Raw genomic sequence first — 24,826 nt, 5'->3', positions numbered from 1 at the left:
TACTTTTTTTAGTCTCATAATTACCTGAGTACCTGCAATATGCACATCACTTTACCACTGTACACTTAGTAGCAACACGTCTTGTACTTAAAAATGTCTAAAGGTAAGACCTGTGTTTCTAGTTTGAAGGCCTAGAAAGTAAATGAGTGAGGTTTTTGTGTTGGTGTTTCAGACTATAAACTTAAATGGCCTCAGAGAATCGGGTTAGTGCTTGTTCATGACTCAGGTTCTGTGAAAAGGCTATTCAAATAAAAATAAAGCTGTAAGCTCTATCCTACCAGGTATAGAGACAAACACCAAAGTTACAGTAGATGAGTATTGTCAAGGGGTTAAGACTGTGGACACAAGCAATAGTTAATGGCTTTGGGAATTCTAGGAAATAGGAGACCAATGTGGGATAGGTGACATTAGGAAGATTTCTTTGGCATCTGGGTTTTAAGGTTGGGATTGAAGGTAGAGAAAAGCTCTCAGAATAGACGTGGGAAGCATGGAGGTGAAGGTAGAAACTAAGAATAAGTAAGATTGGAATAAGCAGAAGACCATTTCTGGTTCTGAATCTGTGTGTGATAATGTCTGAATGAGTTAGTCCAGATGGAAGAGCACAGATGGAGGGTGTGACGTTCTAGCTTTAGAGAATTAAGCTATATATTCCTTGAGACCAAAGGAAGTGTGAAAGATGTAAACTCCTGTCTCTTAGGTTTAAGGAGTTATAGTACCAGTCCATAGAAAAGAAAGTCCTAGCTGTTTTAGAACTGCATGGTTGCTCCACAAGGTAAAATGCCTTTGAGACGCTTATTTTTTTTTAGCTATTTTCAAGGAAGTATTTAATCCTCCTGACTTTGAGAATAGTGAATATGTCTTGTGTTCATAAATTTAAGCAAGGATGAAGAATGCCCAATAATGTGTGTGTGTTTTAAGTGTGCTTCTCAATTCATCTAATTCTTCCCAGTTTCTAACTATTAAGGGAGTTAGAGGCTTACATGCAGGTGATTTTGTTAGAGGCTTACTTTGCAGATGATTTCTTTATGAAATCATGTTAATTGCATGAAAATATAAAGTCTGAATTTGTGCCTTTTACATTTCAGGTTTGTGTTTGGGCTTAGATGGATGGTTATAACATTTGCTTGTTTTTTGTAGTTTTACATCTGAGCCATCAGTGGAAACCTGTCTAGAGCTGAGACTTGGTCTTATAAATAAGAGTTGATTTATGCCTTCCCTTTTGCCTATTTGACTTTTTGCGCCTTCTTACTTCCTTAGCTCTTTCTGGATTTGGTGTTCTCGTTTTCTTAAAAGCCTAGGTAAATTATATTTATATTAAACAAGTGTTGAACGTTTGTAATGGTAGGTTCGTGACAGATCTCTAGTCCAGATTTGCCTATCACATAAAAAGGAAGAGGGAAAATAACAAAAGAAAATAAAATGAGGAAAAGGGAAAGGAGAACCCAGCTTATTTGCTTTATCACTTACCTTTTAATACTGTTATTTATGTATTACCCAAAGCATCACTGTGAGCTTCTTTCAAGTAAATGTTTCAGCGAATGTGAAAGGTGTTGAATTCCCATAGGGAGAATAAAGAGTGGAAGAGGGAAAATAACAGCAGCTTTAGTATGCTGTTTTAAGCAATAAGGACAAAACTGGCTCTTCTGGCCGGGTGTGGTGGCTCAAACCTGTAATCCCAGGACTTTGGGAGGCCAAGAGGTGGATCAGCTGAGGTCAGGAATTCGAGACCAGCCTGGCCAACATTGTGAAACGCCGTCACTACTAAAAATACAAAAATTAGCTGGGCGTGGTGGCAGGCGCCTATAATCCCAGCTACTTGGGAGGCTGAGGCATGAGAAGCACTTGAACCTGGGAGGCAGAGGTTGCAGTGAGCCAAGATCGCACCACTGCACTCGAGCCTGTCGGACAGAGCAAGAGACTGTGTCTCAAAAAAAAAAAAATGGCTCTTTTGCTGTCACGTTGACACATTTGTTTCCTAGCCTAGTGGGCAAGACCTCTAGAAAGTTAAGCAGAACTTTTCCCTTACTGGGTTATCTTTTTCTGCAAAGAGGATGTGGAAATGGATTTGATTTTGTGTGCTTGGCAGTTATCCATGTGTCAGGTTTGGGAAGTAGTTCTCAAGAACAACTGAAGCAAAAGTCGTAGGAAGGAACTGAACTTTTTGGCTTATAATCCTCTTAGGATCTCTTACTCTCAACATAAGATTCTAGGGAGCATATTTATTATACCTGACTATGAGACCTATCTGAATAGATCTGAAATTAAAGCTGACTGATTTGAGGCTCCCCCCCCTTTCTCAGGTGCTATGCCTGAAATTTCTGCAGTTTTGGTAGATGCCATCAAGGGTTAATGGGTGCCCAGGACCACTAGTTAGAATAGACTCTTTTCTTAAAGAAGAGCCACAAGAGTAGCACATCTGTATAGTTATCTTTGCATTTTCTAGAAAAATATTCTTAAAAGATTAAATCCTCATACTCTAGTTTTAATATTGATTTTCTTGAATCATTGGCATTTATCAGCAAAGCAGGAAATGGCACTAAACAGTTTCCTACTTGACTGATACTTGTTATAATTTTGACACAGATTTTAGTTTTCTTAAAAAGCTGGTGAGGTACAGTGGTTCAACTTGTAATCCCAGTGCTTTGGGAGGCTGAGGCAGGAGGATCGCTTGAGTCCAGAAGTTAGAGACTAGCCTGGGCAACGTAGGGAGACTCTGCCTTTACAAGAAATTTGAAAGACCATGTCTCTACCAAAAACTTTTTTAAAATTTAGCTGGGCATGATGGCACGCCTGTGGTCCCAGCTACTTGGGAAGCTGAAATAGGAGGATTGCTTGAGACCAGAAGGTCAAAGGCTGCAGGAGTTGTGATTTGCCACTGCACCCCAGCCTGGCAACAGAGCGAGACCTTGTCTAAAAATAAATGAATAAATAAATAAATAGATAAATAAGGAGGAAGGAAGGGAAAGGAAGAAAAGCCTGTTCTCCCCTTTTGAATATTTTTAAAACATAAGCTTTCCAGATATGGTAAATTTTGGGATTGGTTCTTATTGGAGTTAACAAAGAAATGACTGCAGTTTAAGCTTTAAAATAACTTTTTAAACAAAATTTTAAGTATCACCTGATTTTCTTAGCAGAATTTAATATCTAGAAAAGTTTGAAAGAAAAGTGGTAGTGCTTATTTTAAGGAAAGTACTCTTACCAGAATCATAGGCATCAAAATTTGAAATAATTTATTGCAGTGATTTTCAGTCCTTGGGATAAATGAAATTGGCAGTTGATACTTCTTATTAGGGACACATTGTATACAGTAATACAGCCCAGGATAATTAAAACATGATTCCAGTTAAAAGCAAATAAATGTCATTACCTTGTGTTATATGGGTTATTTTCTGTGATCTGAAGCCAAGGAAAAATGTGACTCCTTTTTGAATAAGGACAAGTAATTATTGATTAAATGCAATTTGGTAGGAACTGGAATCGAAGTTCAGATAAAAGAAATCTTTGCTTTCTGAAACATTTTGGAATGACTGATAGAGTCATCTTCATTTCTTCAGTTACAAAGTAAATTCAGGTGAGATTAAGGAATTTGGTAAAGGCCATAGGAATCAGTGGCCAGTGGGTATAAAATTCAGCTGCCCTGGTAACAGGAGTGTTAAGGCTACTATGCATGTCCTATCTATATAGGAGAATGGAGTTGCATGACAGGGAAAAAAAAAAGTCTCATTACCCTTGTTTTGTCTTTGGGCCTTGTAGTTAATTAGTGGGTTTGTCTTCTGAGTAGGGGAACATTCGCCTTATATAATACCTAGTCAGTGAAAGAAAACTATATTATTCTTAGGGTTGATGATATTAAGTAATAGCTTTTTGTAATATCCTCTCTTCTCCTTTTGTTTCGTTAGGTGGTATGGTCAGGAAAAAGACTACAATGTACTAGTCATGGATCTTCTGGGACCTAGCCTCGAAGACCTCTTCAATTTCTGTTCAAGAAGGTTCACAATGAAAACTGTACTTATGTTAGCTGACCAGGTATGTGAAATTTTGATTAGAATATAAACTGAGACTAGTACTGTTGACTGGAATTTCATTATTCATAAATCAGAGTATTAAAATCCTGTGCATCACTATTTAACCTTAGCATAGGCAGAAAAAAAATAATAATGTGACTTGTAGATATTTTCCTATGGGAATAAGACAAAACCTGGAATTATCTTGGTTTCTTACTCATCTGTAGACTAGTAGTTTTCAATCTGCTCCTTCAGATGAAGTTTTAGTGTCATATGTAGCAGGTTATTGTAAGATTTTGTTTGGAGAGTTTAGAGTGTATGTATGCATATAATTGTTGATAAATGTTTATTGACATTTTGGTTAAATTAAGCAAAATTGAATATTATGTATTATGTGTGGGACTCTTAGAAAAGCTATATTTTTGAGGATAAAAAGGTCCTGAAGTAATATAAGGAAGAATTTTTTGACCAAGTAGATGCTGCTTGGAGTAATGGATTCTCAACCATTTGTGTTACTTAAGACCTAGGAAATTTTGGTGATGTCATGAATTAGATTGATGCATTGGCTGTAGGTTAGATTAAATGGTTTTTACAGCCAAAGTTTGGATATTTCGATCTTAAGAAATGAGAAAGATGAGTAAGGAACAAACCTTAAGGGAAAAGATAATACATTAAGGTAATGATTGGTAAATATCAAGACATGTATAATTTTTTGTTTTGATCAGTATTTGTTACCTTTAAGGGCAGGAAAATGCTGGAAATGCTTTAAGTTAAACTCAGTGTGCTTATAAAAATACTATGAAGAGAATGACATTTAAAAATATAATGGAGGGTTTGTGACAGCTCTCTAGTCCAGATTTGCCTATCACATAAAAAGGAAGAGGGAAAATAACAGAAGAAAATAAAATGAGGAAAAGGGAAAGGAGAACACAGGTTATTTGTTTTATCACTTACCTTTATTTACTTTATCACTTACCTTTTAATACTATTATTTATGTATTACCCAAAGCATCACTGTGAGCTTCTTTCAAGTAAATGTCATAAAGTAAAATGAGATAAACAGACATGGTATTTGAGGTGGAATTTTAGTAAGTTTGTAAATTCAGAGGGATGAAGAGAAGTAGGTTAATGGGCACAAAAATACAGTTAGGAGGAATAAGTTCTAGTATTACATAGTATAGTAGGGAAATTATAGTTAACAATAGCTTATCGTTTATTTCAAAATAGCTAGAAGAGTAGAATTGTAATGTTCCTAACACAAAATATAAATGTTTGAAGTAATGGATATCCCAACTACCCTGATTTGATAATTACACATTGTATACATGTAACAAAATATCACACATACCCCATAAATATATACAACTATTATAGATCAATGAAAAAACTTTGTCTATAATTCCAAGGATTAGAAAGTAGTGCCCATTTTCTGTAATCAGCACCTGATACTCCCCAAGCTTCTTAACCTTAAAAGTACTCAGTGGCTCAAGCAAATGTGAGCAAATTGTGATATTTGTGGCACAAAACAAACTCAAGCATTAAAAGGTTAAAAGTGGCGCGGCACACTGGCTCACGCCTGTAATCCAGCACTTTGGGAGACCAAGACACGAGGATCTCTTGAGCCCAGGAGTTCCAGGCTACAGTGAGCTATAATAATGCCACTGCACTCCAGCCTGAGCAATAGAGCAAAGACCCCATCTCTTTTATGTTAACAGCCTTTAATGTGGGCTGGGTTTGGTGGCTCATGCCTACAGTCCCAGCACTTTTGAGAGGCCAAGGCCGGTAAATCACCTGAGGTCAGGAGTTCGAGACCAGCCTGGCCAACATAGTGAAACCCATCTCTACTAAAAGTACAAAAATTAGCCAGGCGTGGTGGCTGACACCTGTAATCCCAGCTACCCGGGAGGCTGAGGCATGAGAATCACATGAACCCAGGAGGTGGAGATTGCAGTGAGCCGAGATCGCACCACTGCACTCCAGCCTGGGGGATAGAACGAGACTCTGTCTCAAAAAAAAAAAAAGCCTTTAATATGTTTTAACTAACATATATGAGTGAATCCTAATAAAAGAGTTATGGCTTATGTTTTTGTTTGTTCAGTAACACGTAAGCATCCATACATTGAACATGTATTGAGAGCCTACCACTGTACTTAGTGCTGGGGGTTGGGGTGGCAAAAAAATAAGAATTAGTCTCTTCCCTCTAGAAAGAAACTTAGAGTCTAATAAAGAAAGATGGAAAAATAAGATGTTCCATCCTTGTTGTAGAGTTGTAGAAGTCTCTGTTGGGTACACGGGTAACAAATGTGAAAAAATATAATTCTGAGGAAGGGAGATACAAGAAAGCTTTCATTTAAGGTAGTTGACACCTAAGTCTTGCTCTGTGGTTGACAGGTAACAGGTGTAAGTTGTTCAAGCCAGAGATTACTAGTTTGGCTTCAGAAGACATTTGTCAAGGTAGAAGAGTACAATTTAGAATCTGTGTATTCATGATAATAAAAGCTCTGGGGAAAATGGGGACAAATAAAAAATAGAATCCTAACAGATACTACTGGGTAGAGCAAGAACATATGGACAGAAAGATAATGTTGGCAGTCTTTGGATATGTAATCTATTTAAAAATACAACTTCTAAGTAAGTGTCTTATAGAAAAGATAGAGGCTGGGTGTGATGGCTCATGCCAGCAATCCCAGCACTTTGGGAGGCAGAAGCAGGAGGATCACTTGAGCTCAGGAGTTCGAGAGCAGCCTGGGCAACATAACGATACCCCCCTTTCCACAAAAAATACAAAAATTAGCTGGGCATGGTAACGCGCATGTCCGTAGTTCCAGCTTCTCAGGGGGCTGAGCTGAGAGGATCACTTGAGCCCCGGAAGTTGAAGCTGCTGTGAGCCGTGATCTCGTCACTGCACCCCAGCCAGGGTGACAAAGTGAGACTCTGTCTCAAAAAAAACAAAAAAACACAGAACTTCTATTGTATACAAGAAATGCCATAAGCAGTCAAAATAAAAAATAATTTAAATTTGTTTACATAATGACAGATAAAAGATTGTTTGTTTTATGACGAGAACTCCTAAAAGCTAACAAGAAGACAATAGGCCGAAAGAAAAATAGGCAAAGAGTGGAGCTTGACAGTACATAGAAGAGTAAATCCTCATAGAAGGGCCAGGCGCAGTGGCTCACGCCTGTAATCCCAGCTCTTTGGGAGGCCGAGGCAGGTGGATCATTTTAGGCCAGGAGCTGGAAACCAACATGGTGAAACCCTGTCTCTACTAAAAATAAAAAAAAGTACCCAGGCATGTGGCGGGTGCCTGTAATCCCAACTACTCGGGAGGCTGAGGCAAGAGAATCGCTTGAACCCAGGAGGCAGAGGTTGCAGTGAGCCAAAATTGCACCACTGCACTCCAGCCTGGGCAGCAGAGTGAGTGAGACTCTGTCTCAAAAAAAAAAAAAAATCCTCATGGAAGGATTACTTCTAAATCGAGGCCGGGCATGGTGGTTCACACCTGTAATCCTACCACATTGGGAGGTCGAGGCAGGAGGATCTCCTGAACCCAGGAGTTCAAGAGCAGCTGGGCAACATAACGATATCCCGTCTCTACCAAAAATTAAAAATTAGCTGACACAAAAAAATTAGCCAGGTGTAGTGGCATGCACCTTATAGTTTCAGCTACTCCAGAGGGTGAAGTGTGAGGATCACTGGAGCCTGGAAGGTTGAGGCAGCAGTGAGTTATGGTTGCTTCACTGCACTTCAGCCTAGGTGACAGTGAGACCCTGTCTCAAAAAAAAAAAAAAAAAAAGAAGAGTAAATCCAAATTGTTACAGCCTATTGTGGAAGGCAGTGTGATATTATCTATCAAAATGAAAAATACACCCTTCAACTCAGCAACTCCCCATAATTATATGGGATTTGAAGCCCATAGAAATAAAAGCACTAGTGGGTAAAGATACATGTCTATTAATGGCATTATTTATAGTAGGAAAAAGTGGAAAACAATGTGAGAATACTGTGAGTTGGGGAAGACATAACATCTCTACCACAGAATATTTGTAGCCATTAAAAAGGATATTTGAGCTATAGCGTTTGACTTTGCATAATTTCCAAGAAATTAAGGAAAGCTTTTAAGAATGGCATGTTTAATATTTAACTTTTGGAATGAGATTATATAAGAATTATAACAACTACTTATAGCTTAATCTGCCAATCTGTCAACATCCTCCACTCCCAAGTATATGTGTATCTGTTTGTGTGCATATGTATATCTTATAACATGGAATTAGGTCTGGGTAATACAAGGCCATTTTAACAGGTTACTTTAGAAGGCCTAGGATTGAGTGTGGAAAGTTTTTATTTTATTTCCTTTATTGTAGCAACTGAAACTATTATACAGGTATTCCTTTTATTATTTGAAAATCACAAACACCAAGTCTTCCTATGGGGTTAGACCCTGCCATGGTTTTAATTATTAATACTAGAAGGTAAAGCCAAAGGACACAGCAGGTATATGCTTAGATATCCATTAACCTAGAAATAAATGGAGAACTTAGTTGTCCTTTCCATTTCATTTTCTTTAGCGCTGTCTTTGTGAACTCTAAATAATTGAGATACTGAAATACTTAAGAAATGTGTTGATTTTCATTTACTACTTAACTCAATTATCTCTCCCTTCTTTTTTTTCCAGATGATCAGTAGAATTGAATATGTGCATACAAAGAATTTTATACACAGAGACATTAAACCAGATAACTTCCTAATGGGTATTGGGCGTCACTGTAATAAGGTTAGTCAAATGCTCTTTGCATGAAAGAACAAAGAGTAAAGTTTCGACAAGAATTGCTTTGGTAAACTTTTCAATCTTTTAAAAAGCCATAGTAAGTTGAATTTGCTGTTGACAGTTGCTTTAAAAGATTGTGCTATGAGGATAATCAGCTAACTCCATTAACTTAGTAACTTGAAATAAATTATCTTCAACTTACCCAACCGAGGTTAGTTACCTATATGGAAATATAAAATTCTAAGGGCTGTATAATGAACTGTAGTTGTCTAAGTTATTTAACTGTTGAACAGTTGTATCTATTTTTCATTCACAAAAATAGCAAAAACCCCCATATTCTTTTCTTCCTGAATGCTTAAAACCAGATTTTAACCTTTGGCTCTGAAGTGTGGGTTTTTATAATATATGTGCTTGTGCCAGTGTGGGAACACTGACTTATCTGTCACCATGGTGTTAACATTTGCTGACTGAGCATGGTTGATAATGAGAATTCTTCAGTCCTTGAATTTGTGTATTTAAAAGGGTAACTTTTGGGCCTGCTTCAAAAGTAGTTGACAGTTTTTTACTTGGGTGCCAAATTGGGTGAGTTCTCCACCCCTCCCTCTCCCTTTAAAGGAAAATGTAGACAAGTGAAATGAACATTCATACAACAAAACTAGTGTTCATTTGGGGTCTCTGAGAGTGGTTCAACTTATGGGGTGATTGGGTTTTAGCTAGTGGCGCATGATTGCAGTTAGAAACTAATTGTGTTGACTTTTTTTCTGTAATGATTAGTCTTACTGAGTGAATTGCTTTCTTTATCGATACTATGTTGAGCTCGGGCAGACAGGCAGCATTGGCAATGCACTAAGCATGTTGTGATCTGATGATCTATCTGATAGAAATTCTCAACTTCAGGACAACTTGGGGGCTTTTTTTGTTTTTTTGTGGCTTTTTTGTTTTGTTTTTGGAAGGAAGATGCCCATTTGTTTTACTAAACTATTAGGAAATGTTTGGTGTTTTTAGGTCTAGCTATAAATGTTTACCTTTGTTTGCCTGTATGAATGCCAACTGGGAGACATTACCATTAGAATTGGTGTTATTTGTCAATGTGAGATACTGATGTTGGTCTGATTAGGTTTTAGGAAATTAAATTTTTTTGTTGAGCTTTAAATAATGAAAGGTGTTTAAATATACACATAACTTATCTTGTCATTCCCAAGTTGCATTAAAAAATATTTTATAGCTTTTCTCTGAAGTATCCAGGTTTTTATTACTGTAAAGCCTGGTAATTCAATTGAAAAAAAAATTACTGTTCTTAAGTTTTGGGGCAGTTTTGTCCATTTGACTCCAATCTTCTTGGCCATTTCCCAGCCCTCTCCTTCCTGTTTTCTTACCCCCTAAAAACCCATTATCACCATGTGATTCCTATTCTGCATCGTTGACATTGCAGTACGTGGTTTTTGCCTTAAATTTAAATGATGACCTAGATATCACTTTGCCTTCCCCCCCTCCCCCACAACCCCCTTAAGAATAGCTTGTTAATCGCATAGTTGTCTTAAGGAAGTGTAAGTTATCTAGTGGTGAAAACCTTTTTAGGAGGTTTAGGTCTCCTTTTCTCCTTGAGATATTAAAAATAATTTTGTGGAGCTGCTTGCTGCTTAACACTGTTTTAGAGAGGCCATGGGGAAGAAGCAAAGTGTTTTACTCAACTAAGATTCAAATGCTAAATGTTGCTCTTGAACATTTTAGATTAGTGTTTTGTTTATGTAGTTGATTTTTAGTGTTTTCTGTATTGTAGTTTGAAAAATGCCAGTTGTATGAGACTGGATTCTTTGGTCAGCTTGTTCCAGTAGTTTTCTATTCATGGGGAAAAAAAGGTTTTGGGGGGCTTTTGAGGACAATTTTTAAAGTTAAATTTCTTATTTGGAAAATTGTTCTGAATTTGATATTTAGGAGTGGCCACTCCAATCTTAGTGAATTTGCTCATCTCTTCCAGTAATCAGCCCTGCATGCTTACGAAAATAAATTTTAAGGTGACTAAATGCCTTCTACCTCTTCCTTACTGAAGATTTTTTTCCCCCGTACAATATTTTTTTGGGGGGGAAGGGCAGATTGTGGTACCAAAGATTGCAGATCTAAATTCCCCATTTTTGATTAAAAATATAAAAGAGCCAAATGTCACCATTGCTATCCCTGTTTCAGGCAGTGACACAAAATAGTGGCATTAAAAACCTGAGTAATTTCCAGAATTCAAATGTTCTTGAGCATGTGATTCTTATTTGGAAAACTGAGAAGCTACAGTGCTTGGTGGAAGAAGGATGGCATTTGGCTACCCTGTTCTTTCTCTAATGCCTCGGTGTTGCCTGTCTGCGCCGGCCATTGTTGCAATGTAAGCAATACTGTTTGATGCACTGCCACCCTCTATTGTCTGTTTAGTGTTTAGAATCTCCAGTGGGGAAGAGGAAAAGAAGCATGACTGTTAGTACTTCTCAGGACCCATCTTTCTCAGGATTAAACCAGGTCTGAAACTGTCTCCTATTCCAACCTCAATCCCAAATTCATGTGCTTTTCTTTTTTATTGTTTTATTTTGATGATTTTTGTTTTGTTTTAATTCTGGAGAATGTAGATCTTGCTCAAGCACCTCTTACGTTGGCATTATTCAGACATACTTGGCAAACATAACATTACTAAGATATTTCTTTGTGGCTTTTGCTTAAAACTTATAAAGTTTAGAAAAAAGCTAAATGAAAATAGGATATTATGTTTAGCTCTCTAACATACATATGAGGAAATGATGTTGGTCTAGTACTGAAATTGTTTACCTAATAGTAAACTTGAGATAGATCGTTAGTTTTTAAAAATTTATTTGGAGTTACACAACTTAATGCACGAAATATATTTAAATTCAGTTCATTAGTGCTGTATAATGAATATATTCTACCTCACCTCTCTTCCCCTTCCCTAAGGAACTTCAGGTAAGTGTAGATCAGATTTCAGATCTAGTGTTTCTAGAACTTATTTCCTCAGTCTGTATTCTCAACTTCTAGCAAATGGATATTTACAGAGCATTATAGGCTCTGGAACTAGAAGATACTGCATTCTTAACAATATAACAATAACATAGCTTAAGCACTTATCAAGTTATATGGTAGATTACCATTAGTAATACATTGAAATATATTAAATTTAGTTTTTGGCAGGCTGGATAAACACCCTACTAATTTTCTAAATTTGTAAGTAGAACTCTTCATATTTTGTTACACTTTTGTTGAAGTTAAATAGCTTTTTTATCACAAAATTTAAGTTCATAAATGTTCATGCTCCTGAGCAAATGAATCTTAATCATTCAGTTTAGTATACAGTGAAGAGGAAGTATTGGCATGAATAATCAAAAAACAAAAAACATGCTTTGTAATACCTTAAATTATCCACATGTATCATCTGGATAATCATTTAACCCTTTTCCATACTGCCCAGCTTTATTCCAGGAACCACCTCCAGCTATTAAAAAAGGTTTCAGAAATTCAGAGTTATTTTTATTCAGGCAAAGAAGTACCAAGTATTGTGACTAGTTAGATAAGGGGTGGGGGGAAGACAGTAGATGGTGGATCATTAGGCATATTATAAGAATAAAACTAGTTTTATAGTGCCTCATTTTTACTTACCCATTCACATATTTTGCTTACATTTCGTAGCATCATTTAATAATTTACAAAGAAAGTTGTATTACATTGTTTAGATTTTGTACATACAGGTTAGCTAGGTTTTTAGTAAAGTGACCTTGTGAATGTTTTAGAAGGGCAAGGGAAATTATGACCCCTGGTTAGGAAAAAAAAAAAAATGCTGCAAGTACTAAACACTAAGATTAGCCACAGTGATTTTGAAGAAAATGTGCCTCTATTGAATGGAATTATGGAATTATCCCCCTACTTTTTTTGGTTTTTGGTTTTATTTTTTGTTTTTTTTGGGGGGTTTTTTTGTTTTGTTTTGAGACGGGGTTTCACTCTGTTGCCCAGGCAGGAGTGTAGAGTGCAGTGGTGCGATCTTGGCCCACTGCAACTTCCACCTCCCAGGTTCAAGCAATTCTGTCTCAGCCTCCCGAATAGCTGGGATTACAGGTATGCGCCACCATGCCCGGCTAATTTTTGTATTTTTAGTGGAGATGGGGTTTTACCATGTTGGCCAGACTGGTCTTGAACTCCTGACCTCAAGTGATCCACCTGCCTTGGCCTCCCAAAATGCTGGCGTTATAGGCATGAGCCACTGCACCTGGTCAAATTATCCCCTATTTATCAACTCAGTTCCCTGTGCCTTTGAAGAATAGGCTGCATTGTTTAAAATGGGCGCAGATTTTACTCATAACATGTAGTTAGTAAAAATCCACAGAAAAGGAGCTTGATTCACTGAAGGAAGTGCCTGTGTCTTTGCACATAAAAGCCTATAGTAAAAATGCATTATCTTACGCTTATTTGATACTGACTTTTCCTCATTTGGTTCTGCCTTTACATATTTACAGCTTTTTGGTTGTATCTTTGGCATCATGTGGTTTCATGTAAACATTTCCATTATATGTTTATATTTATTAGTTTTAAACAGCAAAGCATACAGAGAGAGCTACTAAAGAAGCTTGATAGGTACCCGAAGGTAATGAACCACCAATAGTTTTATTTCCTTTTTTAATTTCAAGTAGTTTTCCTTTCAGTTGTTTACTGAGAATAGGCTATCTTTGTTCAGTACTAACATTTTTTTCCTGATGTATTTTCAGTTTTTATAAGAGGAGAACATTTCAAATTATTTGCTCTTTAGATTTTTGTTTTTAGATTGAGATGTTTAAGAAGATCGTGTTTACATATTTGTAGTTTACTTGATAAATAAGGTTTCCTCCTTTAGCGTTGTGGGAGGAAAGAACTCTCCAGCGAACACTGAATTTTTATAAAGCAGTCTTTTGGTTGTGAGAAAGTGTCTGGTTATTGAGTCACAAATGAAGCTATTGAATGTAGATTTAGACATGAATGAAACTGTTAGACATACTCATGTCAGAGCTCTTCCCTTTTGTCCTTCATTTTAAAGTACCAAAGGAAGCAATCCTAGAAAATGTGAACTGGAGGAAATTCTATGTACTAATCACTCTTCATTCAATGTCTACATATTTCTTAGAGATATTTTTTAAATACCATGAAGCTGAATGTCCTTTTGTGTTTATTTTCCCCATGTTTTCTTTTCACTATGAATCTGCAGAACTTAATCATCACTTTTGTTTTGCTTAACAAATGTATTTTGCTCATTTTAATATTTGTGTACTGATCTGGTTTTCATATCAAGAGAAACTTAAAGTATAAGCTTTATTTCTTAGTGTTTTACAACACAAATTTTCCTGTAATGACTTGATTGCTTAGGAAGGGAGTTTAATCTTTTTACTTTGAGAGTCTTCATCATCCAGTTAACATTTACTAATAATTTAATCTTCATTCTTTTATAGTAGACTAAGTAAAAATCAGTATCTCGTTGACATGGTGACTGAAGCTCAACTGTCAGTGTCTTTACTGTCCAAAGTATAATTGAGAATAGGTTATAATGCTTGGCTGAAATAGATGTTACTCATGCTCCTAGGAGAGGTACTGGTCAGATCTTTATAACCTAAATCAGTAACTTGCTTTATTTATTGACATGAAATCTGCAGGTTAGGTGATCAAGTTTCCCAGCACATCACAAATTATAAACTGGCAAAAGGGACCCAGTAGTCTAATGGAGAGAAGAACTACAAAATTTAGGAGTAACTAGAGAACAACAGACTAGGGCTATATAGTGTAAGGGCACATAGACCTGCCTAGCTTAATATTTGTAGATTAACTTTTATTAAAATATAGCATAATAGGTGATTTTATGACAAAAGCCAAAATTTTAAGTAAAGATTATTTCTTTTCATATGGTAGGTAAATATGAATATGTTTTGGATTTCTTTTTCATAAAAATAGTTATTTACTTATAAAAGGCTTAAGTTCTGGAGTGTAAACTTGAATTACATACAACAATTAGCTACATTATAAATGAATACCTTATTCCCTGAGTACCATATAGACATGATAACACTAAACGTTATTTTGTTCTAAACACTAGTTTTTGTTTTTAGTTAGCTCACTTAAACTGCTAATTGTAAGCCACCTTGATTTAAATGCTAAGCGCTTTTTGGGGGGATTTTTATATCAACTTGTTAAATTTTCCAGAAGTTTAACCTGACCCATTTGTATAATGTCAGTGCTAAGTAGTATTTTTTATTAATAAAAAGTCTTGGTTTCATTGGCAATGTCAGACTTTTAGGGTAGATAACAAGTATTCTGTTGGCACATTTAAGAATGGCCTTTGTAGGAGGGAAGAGTTCAGATAGTTTATATCTGGATTTTTTTTTTTTTTTTAAGAAAGAGTTTTGCTCTGTCACCCAGGCTGGAGTGCAGTGACGCGGTCTTGGCTCACTGCAACCTCTGCCTCCCGGGTTCAAGCGATTCTCCTGCCTCAGCCTCTTGTGTAGCTGGGACTACAGGCATGTGCCACCATGCCCGGCTATTTTTGTATTTTTTGTAGAGGTGGGACTTTGCCATGTTTGGTCAGGCTGGTCTTGAACTCCTGACCTCAAGTTATCCGCCTGCCTCAGCCTCCCAAAGTGCTGGGATTATAGGCGTGAGCTACCGCGCTCGGCCATTATATCTAGATTTTGAAACCTCATGTTTGTTTACCAGTAGTAACAGGTGTACAGACTATCAGGTGTCATTATGACAGATAGCACACTTGTTGCTTCTGCTGTCAAGCATGTATACATTTCTTTCTTTATAAAGACAGGTTCCTGAGTATGTAATGAAATGGGCCTGTGAAATCTGCAAACGACAAGGATAAACTACTAGACTTTTTTTTTTTAACTTGATTTATTGATGAAGACTAGTAAAAGCTTATGGGGGGGTGTTAAGTCTGTTCATTATCTGTTCTATTAATACTTAGGATACTTTATTTTGATATATTTGAATGCATAGAATAGATACCATTTAATGAATAAGACGCAGTTTAATTGAACAAGGTTGGAAACCTAATGTTTCTGTATTTCTCTTTTAAAGTTATTCCTTATTGATTTTGGTTTGGCCAAAAAGTACAGAGACAACAGGACAAGGCAACACATACCATACAGAGAAGATAAAAACCTCACTGGCACTGCCCGATATGCTAGCATCAATGCACATCTTGGTATTGAGCAGAGGTAAGTTCGAAAATGGAATGTGCTTATCATAGCCATAGCAGAAGCCATCAATGGGTTTTTGAAATATTTTAGTTTCTTACAATGTCTAAGGATGTTTCTTGGCTGAGGATTTGAAGGATGCTTATTAATCATTTTACCTGCTGCTTTAACCAGTGTAGAGAAGACCGTTAAATGAGGTCTTCTGGATTTTTTGTTGTTGTTGAAGGTTGTCTCTTGGGGGGAAAATACTGCGTGATAGAAAGTTAGAAGCATAAGTGCAATGTTGACGTTTCTTTTTGCAGCTGAAGATAGTACATATATTTTTAGAGCTATTTGGGGCTTTTTATACTTTAGTAATTCACGCTGAGTTTGGGAAGAATGCATTATTTATTTTTAAAAGGAAAATGTTATCAGTGTCCTAATAAACCAAAAGTGGGTTGATGGACCATCTCCTGTTATACTTCACTCAAATATATAAATTAATAGGATCTAGTTTAAAGTAAAAAAAGTAACAGTCTCTGCTCTCTTCCTATTTCTTCACATGAGTTCTAGAGTTTCGAGTTCCTTTCATCTTTTACAGTCACTTTTTGCTCCTTAAAACTAGCATAGAAGTAATAAGTAGAAAAAACAATGATATGCCTCCAGGTTAAAGAACCTCATACCAAGAATTTCAGGCTTAAGAAATATCCATGAATATCTGAATGATCTAGGTTAAACTGTAATGTCACTTTTTCTGTACGCCAAGGCATTACCTATCCTTAAATATATATATATCTAAATATATATTTGTATGTATGTGTATATAGATATGTATGCATGAATACATTCATATAGATGTTCAATTAGTTTTAAGTTGTAACTCCTTTTCAGTACTTCTGAAGTTTTTTTTTAATGAGTTTCTGCAAAACATAGAAATGTCATCCTGCTTGGTTCATTAAGCTCATTTAGAGGGTTGTTTAGCCAAATCGTTTCTGTTCTTTTAAAATTAAATTGTAAGACAGTTGTTTGTCAGATTTTGGATTCCATGGAAAAAGTTTTGTTTAGAGGTAGGTAACACATGAACTTTTTAAAATCACCTTAAATAAGTAGCTTCTTGCGTAAGACACCAAATAGTGTTCCCTCCTCATTTGGGAACATTTCTTCTGGGTACTTGACTTTCTTTCATATGTTTTTTCATAATAATAGTTCCAGTTTATAAAATTACGTTCTCTTTTCTAGTCGCCGAGATGACATGGAATCATTAGGATATGTTTTGATGTATTTTAATAGAACCAGCCTGCCATGGCAAGGGCTAAAGGTAAACCAGACTCACATTATCAGATTTTTCTCTCTCTTTTTTAGAATAAAAATATATATTGGAGAAGATAAGATTTAAGGTCCCTTCTAAGTCTGAGATTTTTCTGAGATATAAAGAATTAACCTTAATTTACTTTTTACCTTTTATCTGGGAAAATGAAACCAGATCATTTTAGTAAGAACTTAGTTCAGCTGAAGAACAGTGTCCTCTAAGAGACAGTAAGCTGGTACCCACTGGTAGCCACTAGCTCTATCTAGATGGAAGTGGGCATGGACTAAGAAAGGTGGAGACTTTCTCATTTTGATGTGTTGCCATTATGTTGAAAATGTATGTTTTTATGTACAGCAAGACCTGTTTATCCAGCAATACATGTCCTAACATTTTGTTTCTATTAGCTAGGAGTTTACTGTTACTTTTGTGAGTGTATGTTAATGATAAATCACCGTATCCTAATTTTGGGTGGGGGTGGGGGCATGGGGAATGGTCTTGCTCTGTTGCCCAAGCCGGAATGCCTGGCTCACTGCAGCCTGAACCTCCTGGGCTCAAGCAGTCCTCCTATCTCAGCCTCCTACCTGTAGCTGGGACTACAGGAACATGCCACCATGCCCAGCTAATTTTTAAATTATTTTTTGTAGAGACAGTGCCTCACTGTGTTGCCCAGACTGGTCTCAAACTCTTGGGCTCAAGTGATTCTCCTGCTTCAGCATCCCAAAGAACTGGGATTACAGGTGTGAGTCACCACTGTTGGTGTGTCCTAAATTTTAATGGCTATTTTGGTACCTTACCAGTTCTTTGAAGGAATACCTGTATTTATTGAGTGGCTGTGAGCTAGTTGTAGTGCTCAGTCCTTGGGTGGGTAGCTTTATCTAATATGAGTATTTTTAGTTTAGAAAAATATTGTGACTTATACAGTTAACTCCATTTATTAATGTCACTAATTGATGAACAAATTTTTTTGTATTAATCTGATGCCTTTGCCCTTGTGTTGAACATGGGTTAAGAAAATGCTTTTCAGGCTGAGCATGGTGGCTCATGCCTATAATCTTCAACACTTTGGGAGGCCCAGCCAGGCGGATCACTTGAGCCCAGGAGTTCAAGACCAGCCTGGTCAGTATGGCAAGACCTCACCTCTACTTTAAAAAAAAAAAATAGCAGGGTGTAGTGTCACATGCCTGTAGCCCCAATTACTCAGGAGGCTGAGCCGGGAGGATTGCTTTGAGCCCAGGAGTTCGAGGCTACAGCGAGCTATAATCGAGCCACTGCACTCCAGCCTGGGCAACCGAGGGAGACCTTGTCTCAAAAAAACAAACAAACAAACAAAAAAACAAAGAAAAGGAAAAAGGAAAGAAAATGCTTTTCAGCTGGGTATGATGATGCACACCTGTAGTCCCAGCTACTTGATAGGCTGAATCAGGAGGATTGCTTGAGGCCAGGAGTTGGAGGCCACAGGGAATTACTGCTGAGCCTGTGAATGGCTACTGCACTCCAGCCTGGGCAACATAGTGAGACCCCATCTCCTTAAAAAAATATATAGAAAGAAAGAAAATGCTTTTCAATTTTGGCCCCAGCCATTTTTACTTAAATCTAATATCCATATATTCCTATTAGACTCACCCTTTCCCTATAGCTAAAATTAAATTCTTAGAGAAGAAACTTACATCAGAAGTTAACAGTTTGGGAAAAATTTTTTTTAGATGTATTATACTTTGATTTTTTAAATTCTGGGTTAAAATTTCTCTTGAATCTCACAGGTATATGTTTATATGTCTAGTGCGTTAAACTACCATGGTTCTTCTCAGTAGCACTGAGTATATCTTTTTTATTTTATTCTTTTCCACAGGCTGCAACAAAGAAACAAAAATATGAAAAGATTAGTGAAAAGAAGATGTCCACGCCTGTTGAAGTTTTATGTAAGGTAAGTATGCATGATGAATATTAAAAAAATATAAATGAAGCCAGGCACAATGGCTCACACCTGTAATCCCAGCACTTTGGGAGGCCAAGGCAGTAGGTCACATGAGCCCAGGAGTTCAAGACCAGCCTGGGCAACATAGGGAAACCCCATTTCTACCTTAATAGATAAATGATCCGGCTGGGCACAGTGGCTCAAGCCTGCAATCCCAGCACTTTAGAAGGCCGAGGTGGGCGGATCACTTGAGCCCAGAAGTTCCACAAGACCAGCCTGGGCAACATGGTGAAATACCTTATCTACCAAAAATACAAAAATTAGCTGGGTGCAGTGATACACGTCTGTGGTCCCAGCTACTCAGGAGCCTGAGGCAGGAGGATCACTTGAGCCCGGGAGGCTCCAATTGCAGTGGTGAATCTTGGCTGTCTTGCAAGGATCTGAGATTGTGCCACTGCACTCCAGCCTAGGTAACAGAGTAAGACTCTGTCTCAAATGAGTGAATGAATGAATGATCCAGGAAGAAAAAGGAACATTTTATTTGCCAGCTCTGGAACTTGTAACATTGAATTAGGTAGCTATTCACCATTTTAAATTTACATTTTTATTATTCTAAATATCTTTAACAAGGACTTTTAACATAGGGGTCTTTTTAAATAAGTGTTTTGCTAGGCACAGTGGCTCACAGTTGAGGAGCCACTTGGTAGGCTGAAGGAGGGTGGATCGCTTGAGCCCGGGAGTTCCAGACCAGTCTAGGCAACATGGTGAAACCCCATCGCTACAAAAAATGCAAAAATTAGCCTGGCATGGTGACGCATGCCTGTAATCTCAGCTTCTTGGGGATGCTGGGGCAGGATGCTTGAGCCCAGGAGGTCGAGGCTGCAGTGAGCCAAGATTGCACCACTGCAGTCCAGCTTGGGTGACAGAGTGAGACCCTGTCTCAACAACAACAAAAATAAGTAAAATAATAAAAAATAAGTTAAATAAACGTTTTAAGTAAGTAAAATAAGTGTTTTATGTTTCTGGTTTGTTAGGGCTCTCTAATCTGTTGAAAACTAGGGGTAAATAAACAGGGCAGGTAAACATTTTCAATAGAACCTCATTAATCTATAAGAAAAAGTAAGAAATATTCTCCTTACCCTAAACTAGTGCTGGAAAAGAAAGGTTATCAACAATTAGTACATTAAGGAACAGGGAAACATGCAGACAGATTGGAGCAATCCAAAATAGCAGCTGTCCAACAATACAGGAATACAGAAGACAGTTTGAATCACACTCATTTTTTCTGAAATTTTCAACTTCATAGAAAGGCAATTGAGTTTAGAATAGAGAGGTATTTGTGTCATGATGAATAACCATGATCTCATCCATAAAAAGAAGGCCATATGGTCTTTCAGACAAGAAAGAATTGTATACCTGAAATTAAGTACAAAGCAGTATACAAATAAATAGTTGAGGGAAGAAATCAGTGAGAGTTAAAATAGTAATTATAAAGTGGTGAGATTGTTTTCAGTCTCATTGTCATACTGTTTACCATTAACACGGGCCATAAATGTATATAAATGTTGAGTTTTAGAAAGATGTATAATATGTATTATTTTACATCTTTTAACATATGTATATGTTTCAAGTGGTCACCCAATTTATATCGGTGCAATCAATAAAAAATGTTGCAAGCATTTCCATTCTATCCTTCCTAACTCCAGGACATGAGAAATTTCTCATAAGGTTGTAGAAAGAGATTGTAACTTTAACTCTACAATCATAAGGTTGTAGAAAGAGACTGCCTCCTTTAACTTTACCACTCTCCACATTGGCATTTACTCTAGGAGAGGAGATATAGAGGTTTGTGCTCTTTTAATATTTTGTATTTCCACATTGCTGATTGGGGAAATCCTTTTGGTGACTGATACCTAGAGCCTTGAAAATGTTTATACATTGTTGAGAATCTTTCCTAAGGAGCTAAATGGAAAAATTCTATGCCCACAGATGTACTTAGCAGTATTATTAATAATAGAGAAAAATTAGAATACATCCAAATGTTCAATTATAAAGAACAAGTTAATGATGTATATACTAGGTAGAATATCATGCAACCATTTAGAAACTTCTGAAGGCTGGGCATGGTGGCTCACACCTGTAATCCCAGCACTGTGGGAGACCAAGGAGGCCAAGGGGGGCAGATCTCTTGAGCTCGGGAATTTGAGACCATCCTTGGCAATCTGACAAAACCCTGTCTCTACTAAAAAATACAAAAAATTAGCTGGGCGTGGTAGCTCGTGTCTGTAGTCCCAGCTACTCAGGAAGCTGAGGTTGGAGGATCGCTTGAAGCCTGGGAGGTGGAGGTTGCAGTAAGCTGAGATTACACTACTGCACTCCAGCCTGGGAGACAGATTGAGACCCTGTCTTTAAAAAAAAAAAAAGTTCACGAAGAGGCGCGACTTTGATAAAATGACAGGTTTTAACAAGTGGGCTATGTAAGTTATTTAAGAACATAGTACTGTATAGGAAAAGCACTATATGGGAAGAACATATGTATTTCTTCTACTAATATTGTACATAATAGGGTAGGTAGGGTCATGAAATTTTATTTAAATTTATGAGGAGACCAAGCCATCATTTTAGCTCTCATATCTTCCTATGAAATGGTAAAATATCCCGCCCAAAAATATCTTTTTGCTTATACTTAAATGCATTTATTTTTCTATCTTGAAATGTTTGTTTTTAACTTTGTTTTAACCCTTGAACCTATAGGGGTTTCCTGCAGAATTTGCGATGTACTTAAACTATTGTCGTGGGCTACGCTTTGAGGAAGCCCCAGATTACATGTATCTGAGGCAGCTATTCCGCATTCTTTTCAGGTCAGTTTTTAAGGTATTTTAAGATTATAAACTCTGTGAGGGAAATTGGTTAAATTTACCTAACAAATTCATTCTGATAAATACTAAAGTAAAGCAGATCTAGCTAACATGAATAAAAGGTTTCAGAAACTGATTTATTTGGGACTAATTTGGCATTTTTCTATTTGTAGTGTAAATAGGTGATTTTAGTTTGGAGTGGATAGAGAGTTGAATCATACTCAAAGTAGAATGTAACTTTTCCAGAATAGTTATAATTCATATTAGATATAAGTGGCTGTCAGTGCCTTCTGGAACTCTCCAACTTTGTACAGTACCAAATAAAAAGCAATTAAAATATCACATAGTCATGGAGTCTGATCAAGTGGTAGCAGTCCTAAACTAGGGTAGGGTTCCTTAGGCACAACCCAGAACTGGTCTTGAAAAAGGGGGGGGAATAGATTACATGTGGCTCAAACTCTTAGTTGGAAGAGAGTAAGAATTGAGGTAATCCGCCCAGGTACGGTGGCTCACGCCTGTAATCCCAGCACTTTGGGAGGCCGAGGCGGGCAGATCGCTTGAGGTCAGGAGTTAGAGACCAGCCTGCCCGACATGGTGAAGCCCCATCTTTACTAAAAATACAAAAATTAGCCGGGTGAGGTGGTGCTCACCTTTAATCCCAGCGACTCGGGAGGCTGAGGCAGGAGAATCTCTTGAACCTGGGAAGCGGAGGTTGCAGTCAGCTGAGATCCCCCCAGTGCACTCCAACCTGGGTGACAATGAGGCTCTGTCTCAAAAGAGAAAAACAAAGAATTCAAGTAATCTGCCAGGTGCAATGGCTCACACCTATAATCCTAGCACTTTGGGAGGCCGATGGGGGTGGATCACCTGAGGCCAGGAGCTCGAGACCAGCCTGGCCAACATGGTGAAACCCCGTCTCTGCTACAAATACAAAAATTAGCTGGGTATGGTGGCAGGCGCCTGTAATCCCAGCTACTCAGGAGGCCGAGGCAGGAGAATTGCTTGAACCTGCGAGACGGAGGTTGCAGTGAGCCGAGATTGCACCACTGCACTCCAGCCTGGGCAACAAGAGCAAAACATGGTCTCAAAAAAAAAAAGAGAGAATTCAGGTAATCTTTTAACCCCAGAAAAGTGTCTTCCCCAGGTACCAGTCAGACATCTTATTCCCAAACTTCCAGTTGAATATTTACTCTTACTTGTTTTTAGGAAGTACCTCCTCTTATGAGTATTCCCCTAGATAACTGACAGCTTGATTTCATGTTTCAGTTTTCATGCTGCCTTTTTCATCTATAATAAGAAATATTTTAGAAGCTGCCACACTTGAGGAAATATTCGTTGTGTAAAGAAATGCTGTCACTGTCTTAAAAAGTTAGTAGGTTATATAACTGGACTCTGTTATTAAAGGATTAACATAAAATATTTTATGTGTTCCAGGACCCTGAACCATCAATATGACTACACATTTGATTGGACAATGTTAAAGCAGAAAGCAGCACAGCAGGCAGCCTCTTCCAGTGGGCAGGGTCAGCAGGCCCAAACCCCCACAGGCAAGCAAACTGACAAAACCAAGAGTAACATGAAAGGTTAGTAGCCAAGAACCAAGTGACGTTACAGGGAAAAAATTGAATACAAAATTGGGTAATTCATTTCTAACAGTGTTAGATCAAGGAGGTGGTTTTAAAATACATAAAAATTTGGCTCTGCGTTAAAAAAAAAAAGACGTCCTTGGAAAATTTGACTACTAACTTTAAACCCAAATGTCCTTGTTCATATATATGTATATGTATTTGTATATACATATATGTGTGTATATTTATATCATTTCTCTTGGGATTTTGGGTCATTTTTTTAACAACTGCATCTTTTTTACTCATTCATTAACCCCCTTTCCAAAAATTTGGTGTTGGGAATATAATATAATCAATCAATCCAAAATCCTAGACCTAACACTTGTTGATTTCTAATAATGAATTTGGTTAGCCATATTTTGACTTTATTTCAGACTAACAATGTTAAGATTTTTTATTTTGCATGTTAATGCTTTAGCATTTAAAATGGAAAATTGTGAACATGTTGTAATTTCAAGAGGTGAGTTTGGCATTACCCCCAAAGTGTCTATCTTCTCAGTTGCAGAGCATCTCATTTTCTCTCTTAAATGCTCAAATAAATGCAAAGCTCAGCACATCTTTTCTAGTCACAAAAATAATTCTTTTATTTGCAGTTTACGTATGATCTTAATTTCAAAACGATTTCTTTGTTTTTGGCTTGATTTTTCACAATGTTGCAAATATCAGGCTCCCAGGGTTTAATGTGGAATTGAAGTCTGCAGCCAGGCCTTGCAAATTGAAGGTAACTGGGGCAAATGCCATTGAAACCGCTAGTCTTATTTCCTTTCTACTTTTCTTTGGCACTCTTACTGCCTGTAAGGAGTAGAACTGTTAGGGCACACTGTTGCTATACAGTTTAACTCCCATTTTCATGTTTTGTCTTTCTTTTCCCATTTCTGGGGCTTACCTCCTGATACCTGCTTACTTTCTGGAAGTAGTGGGCAAGTAAGATTTGGCTCTTGGTTTCTAATTTTTAAATTTCTGAATACTGCCCTAGTCTGAACTTGGCCTTTATAGATTAATCTTTGCTTCACATTTTTAGTGTTGTATTTAAACTATTTTATAATTTAAAAATAGATTCTAATCTGAAGATACTTTTCAAGAAATATTATTAACTGATGTCATCCTCATCCCAGCAGCTCATCTGTTAGGAATGAAGTTGAGATGCTTCTATTCCA

At 37.2% G+C, this 24,826-nt stretch overlaps 1 protein-coding gene across 4 annotated transcripts in view, besides 3 other annotated features; it reads left to right on the top strand.

The window, feature by feature from the left end:
- Window positions 1–24,826, top strand: part of CSNK1A1 (casein kinase 1 alpha 1) — a 58,458-nt gene that overhangs the window by 22,369 nt on the left and 11,263 nt on the right. For 2 of the 4 annotated variants that reach the window (NM_001025105.3, NM_001271742.2), the window contains 8 exons: window positions 3,900–4,026; window positions 8,683–8,781; window positions 11,194–11,277; window positions 15,862–16,001; window positions 17,199–17,277; window positions 19,118–19,192; window positions 21,938–22,044; window positions 23,476–23,624. In NM_001025105.3, coding sequence (NP_001020276.1) covers window positions 3,900–4,026; window positions 8,683–8,781; window positions 11,194–11,277; window positions 15,862–16,001; window positions 17,199–17,277; window positions 19,118–19,192; window positions 21,938–22,044; window positions 23,476–23,624 — 860 coding nt within the window. The remainder of the gene's footprint in view (window positions 1–3,899; window positions 4,027–8,682; window positions 8,782–11,193; window positions 11,278–15,861; window positions 16,002–17,198; window positions 17,278–19,117; window positions 19,193–21,937; window positions 22,045–23,475; window positions 23,625–24,826) is intronic. The other 2 variants (NM_001271741.2, NM_001892.6) reach the window with 2 other exon arrangements.
- Window positions 5,430–5,599: an enhancer, noted in NCBI's record as "experimental_82187 CRE fragment used in MPRA reporter constructs". NCBI's record gives its function as "activates a minimal promoter by MPRAs in K562 erythroleukemia cells, with activity observed for the introgressed 5:148903120 variant allele {active_cell/tissue: K562}" and the evidence as "EXISTENCE:reporter gene assay evidence [ECO:0000049][PMID:34662402]".
- Window positions 15,313–15,482: an enhancer, noted in NCBI's record as "experimental_82175 CRE fragment used in MPRA reporter constructs". NCBI's record gives its function as "activates a minimal promoter by MPRAs in K562 erythroleukemia cells, with activity observed for both the introgressed and non-introgressed 5:148893237 or rs77778058 variant alleles {active_cell/tissue: K562}" and the evidence as "EXISTENCE:reporter gene assay evidence [ECO:0000049][PMID:34662402]".
- Window position 15,397: a transcriptional cis regulatory region, noted in NCBI's record as "Neanderthal adaptively introgressed variant 5:148893237 (GRCh37/hg19 assembly coordinates) or rs77778058 in the experimental_82175 CRE". NCBI's record gives its function as "modulates activity of the experimental_82175 enhancer by MPRAs in K562 erythroleukemia cells {active_cell/tissue: K562}" and the evidence as "EXISTENCE:reporter gene assay evidence [ECO:0000049][PMID:34662402]".

Source organism: Homo sapiens, chromosome 5 (genome assembly GCF_000001405.40).
Source record: "Homo sapiens chromosome 5, GRCh38.p14 Primary Assembly".
Taxonomy (NCBI): Eukaryota; Metazoa; Chordata; class Mammalia; order Primates; family Hominidae; genus Homo; species Homo sapiens.
This window is presented reverse-complemented; position numbering and strand designations above follow the sequence as displayed.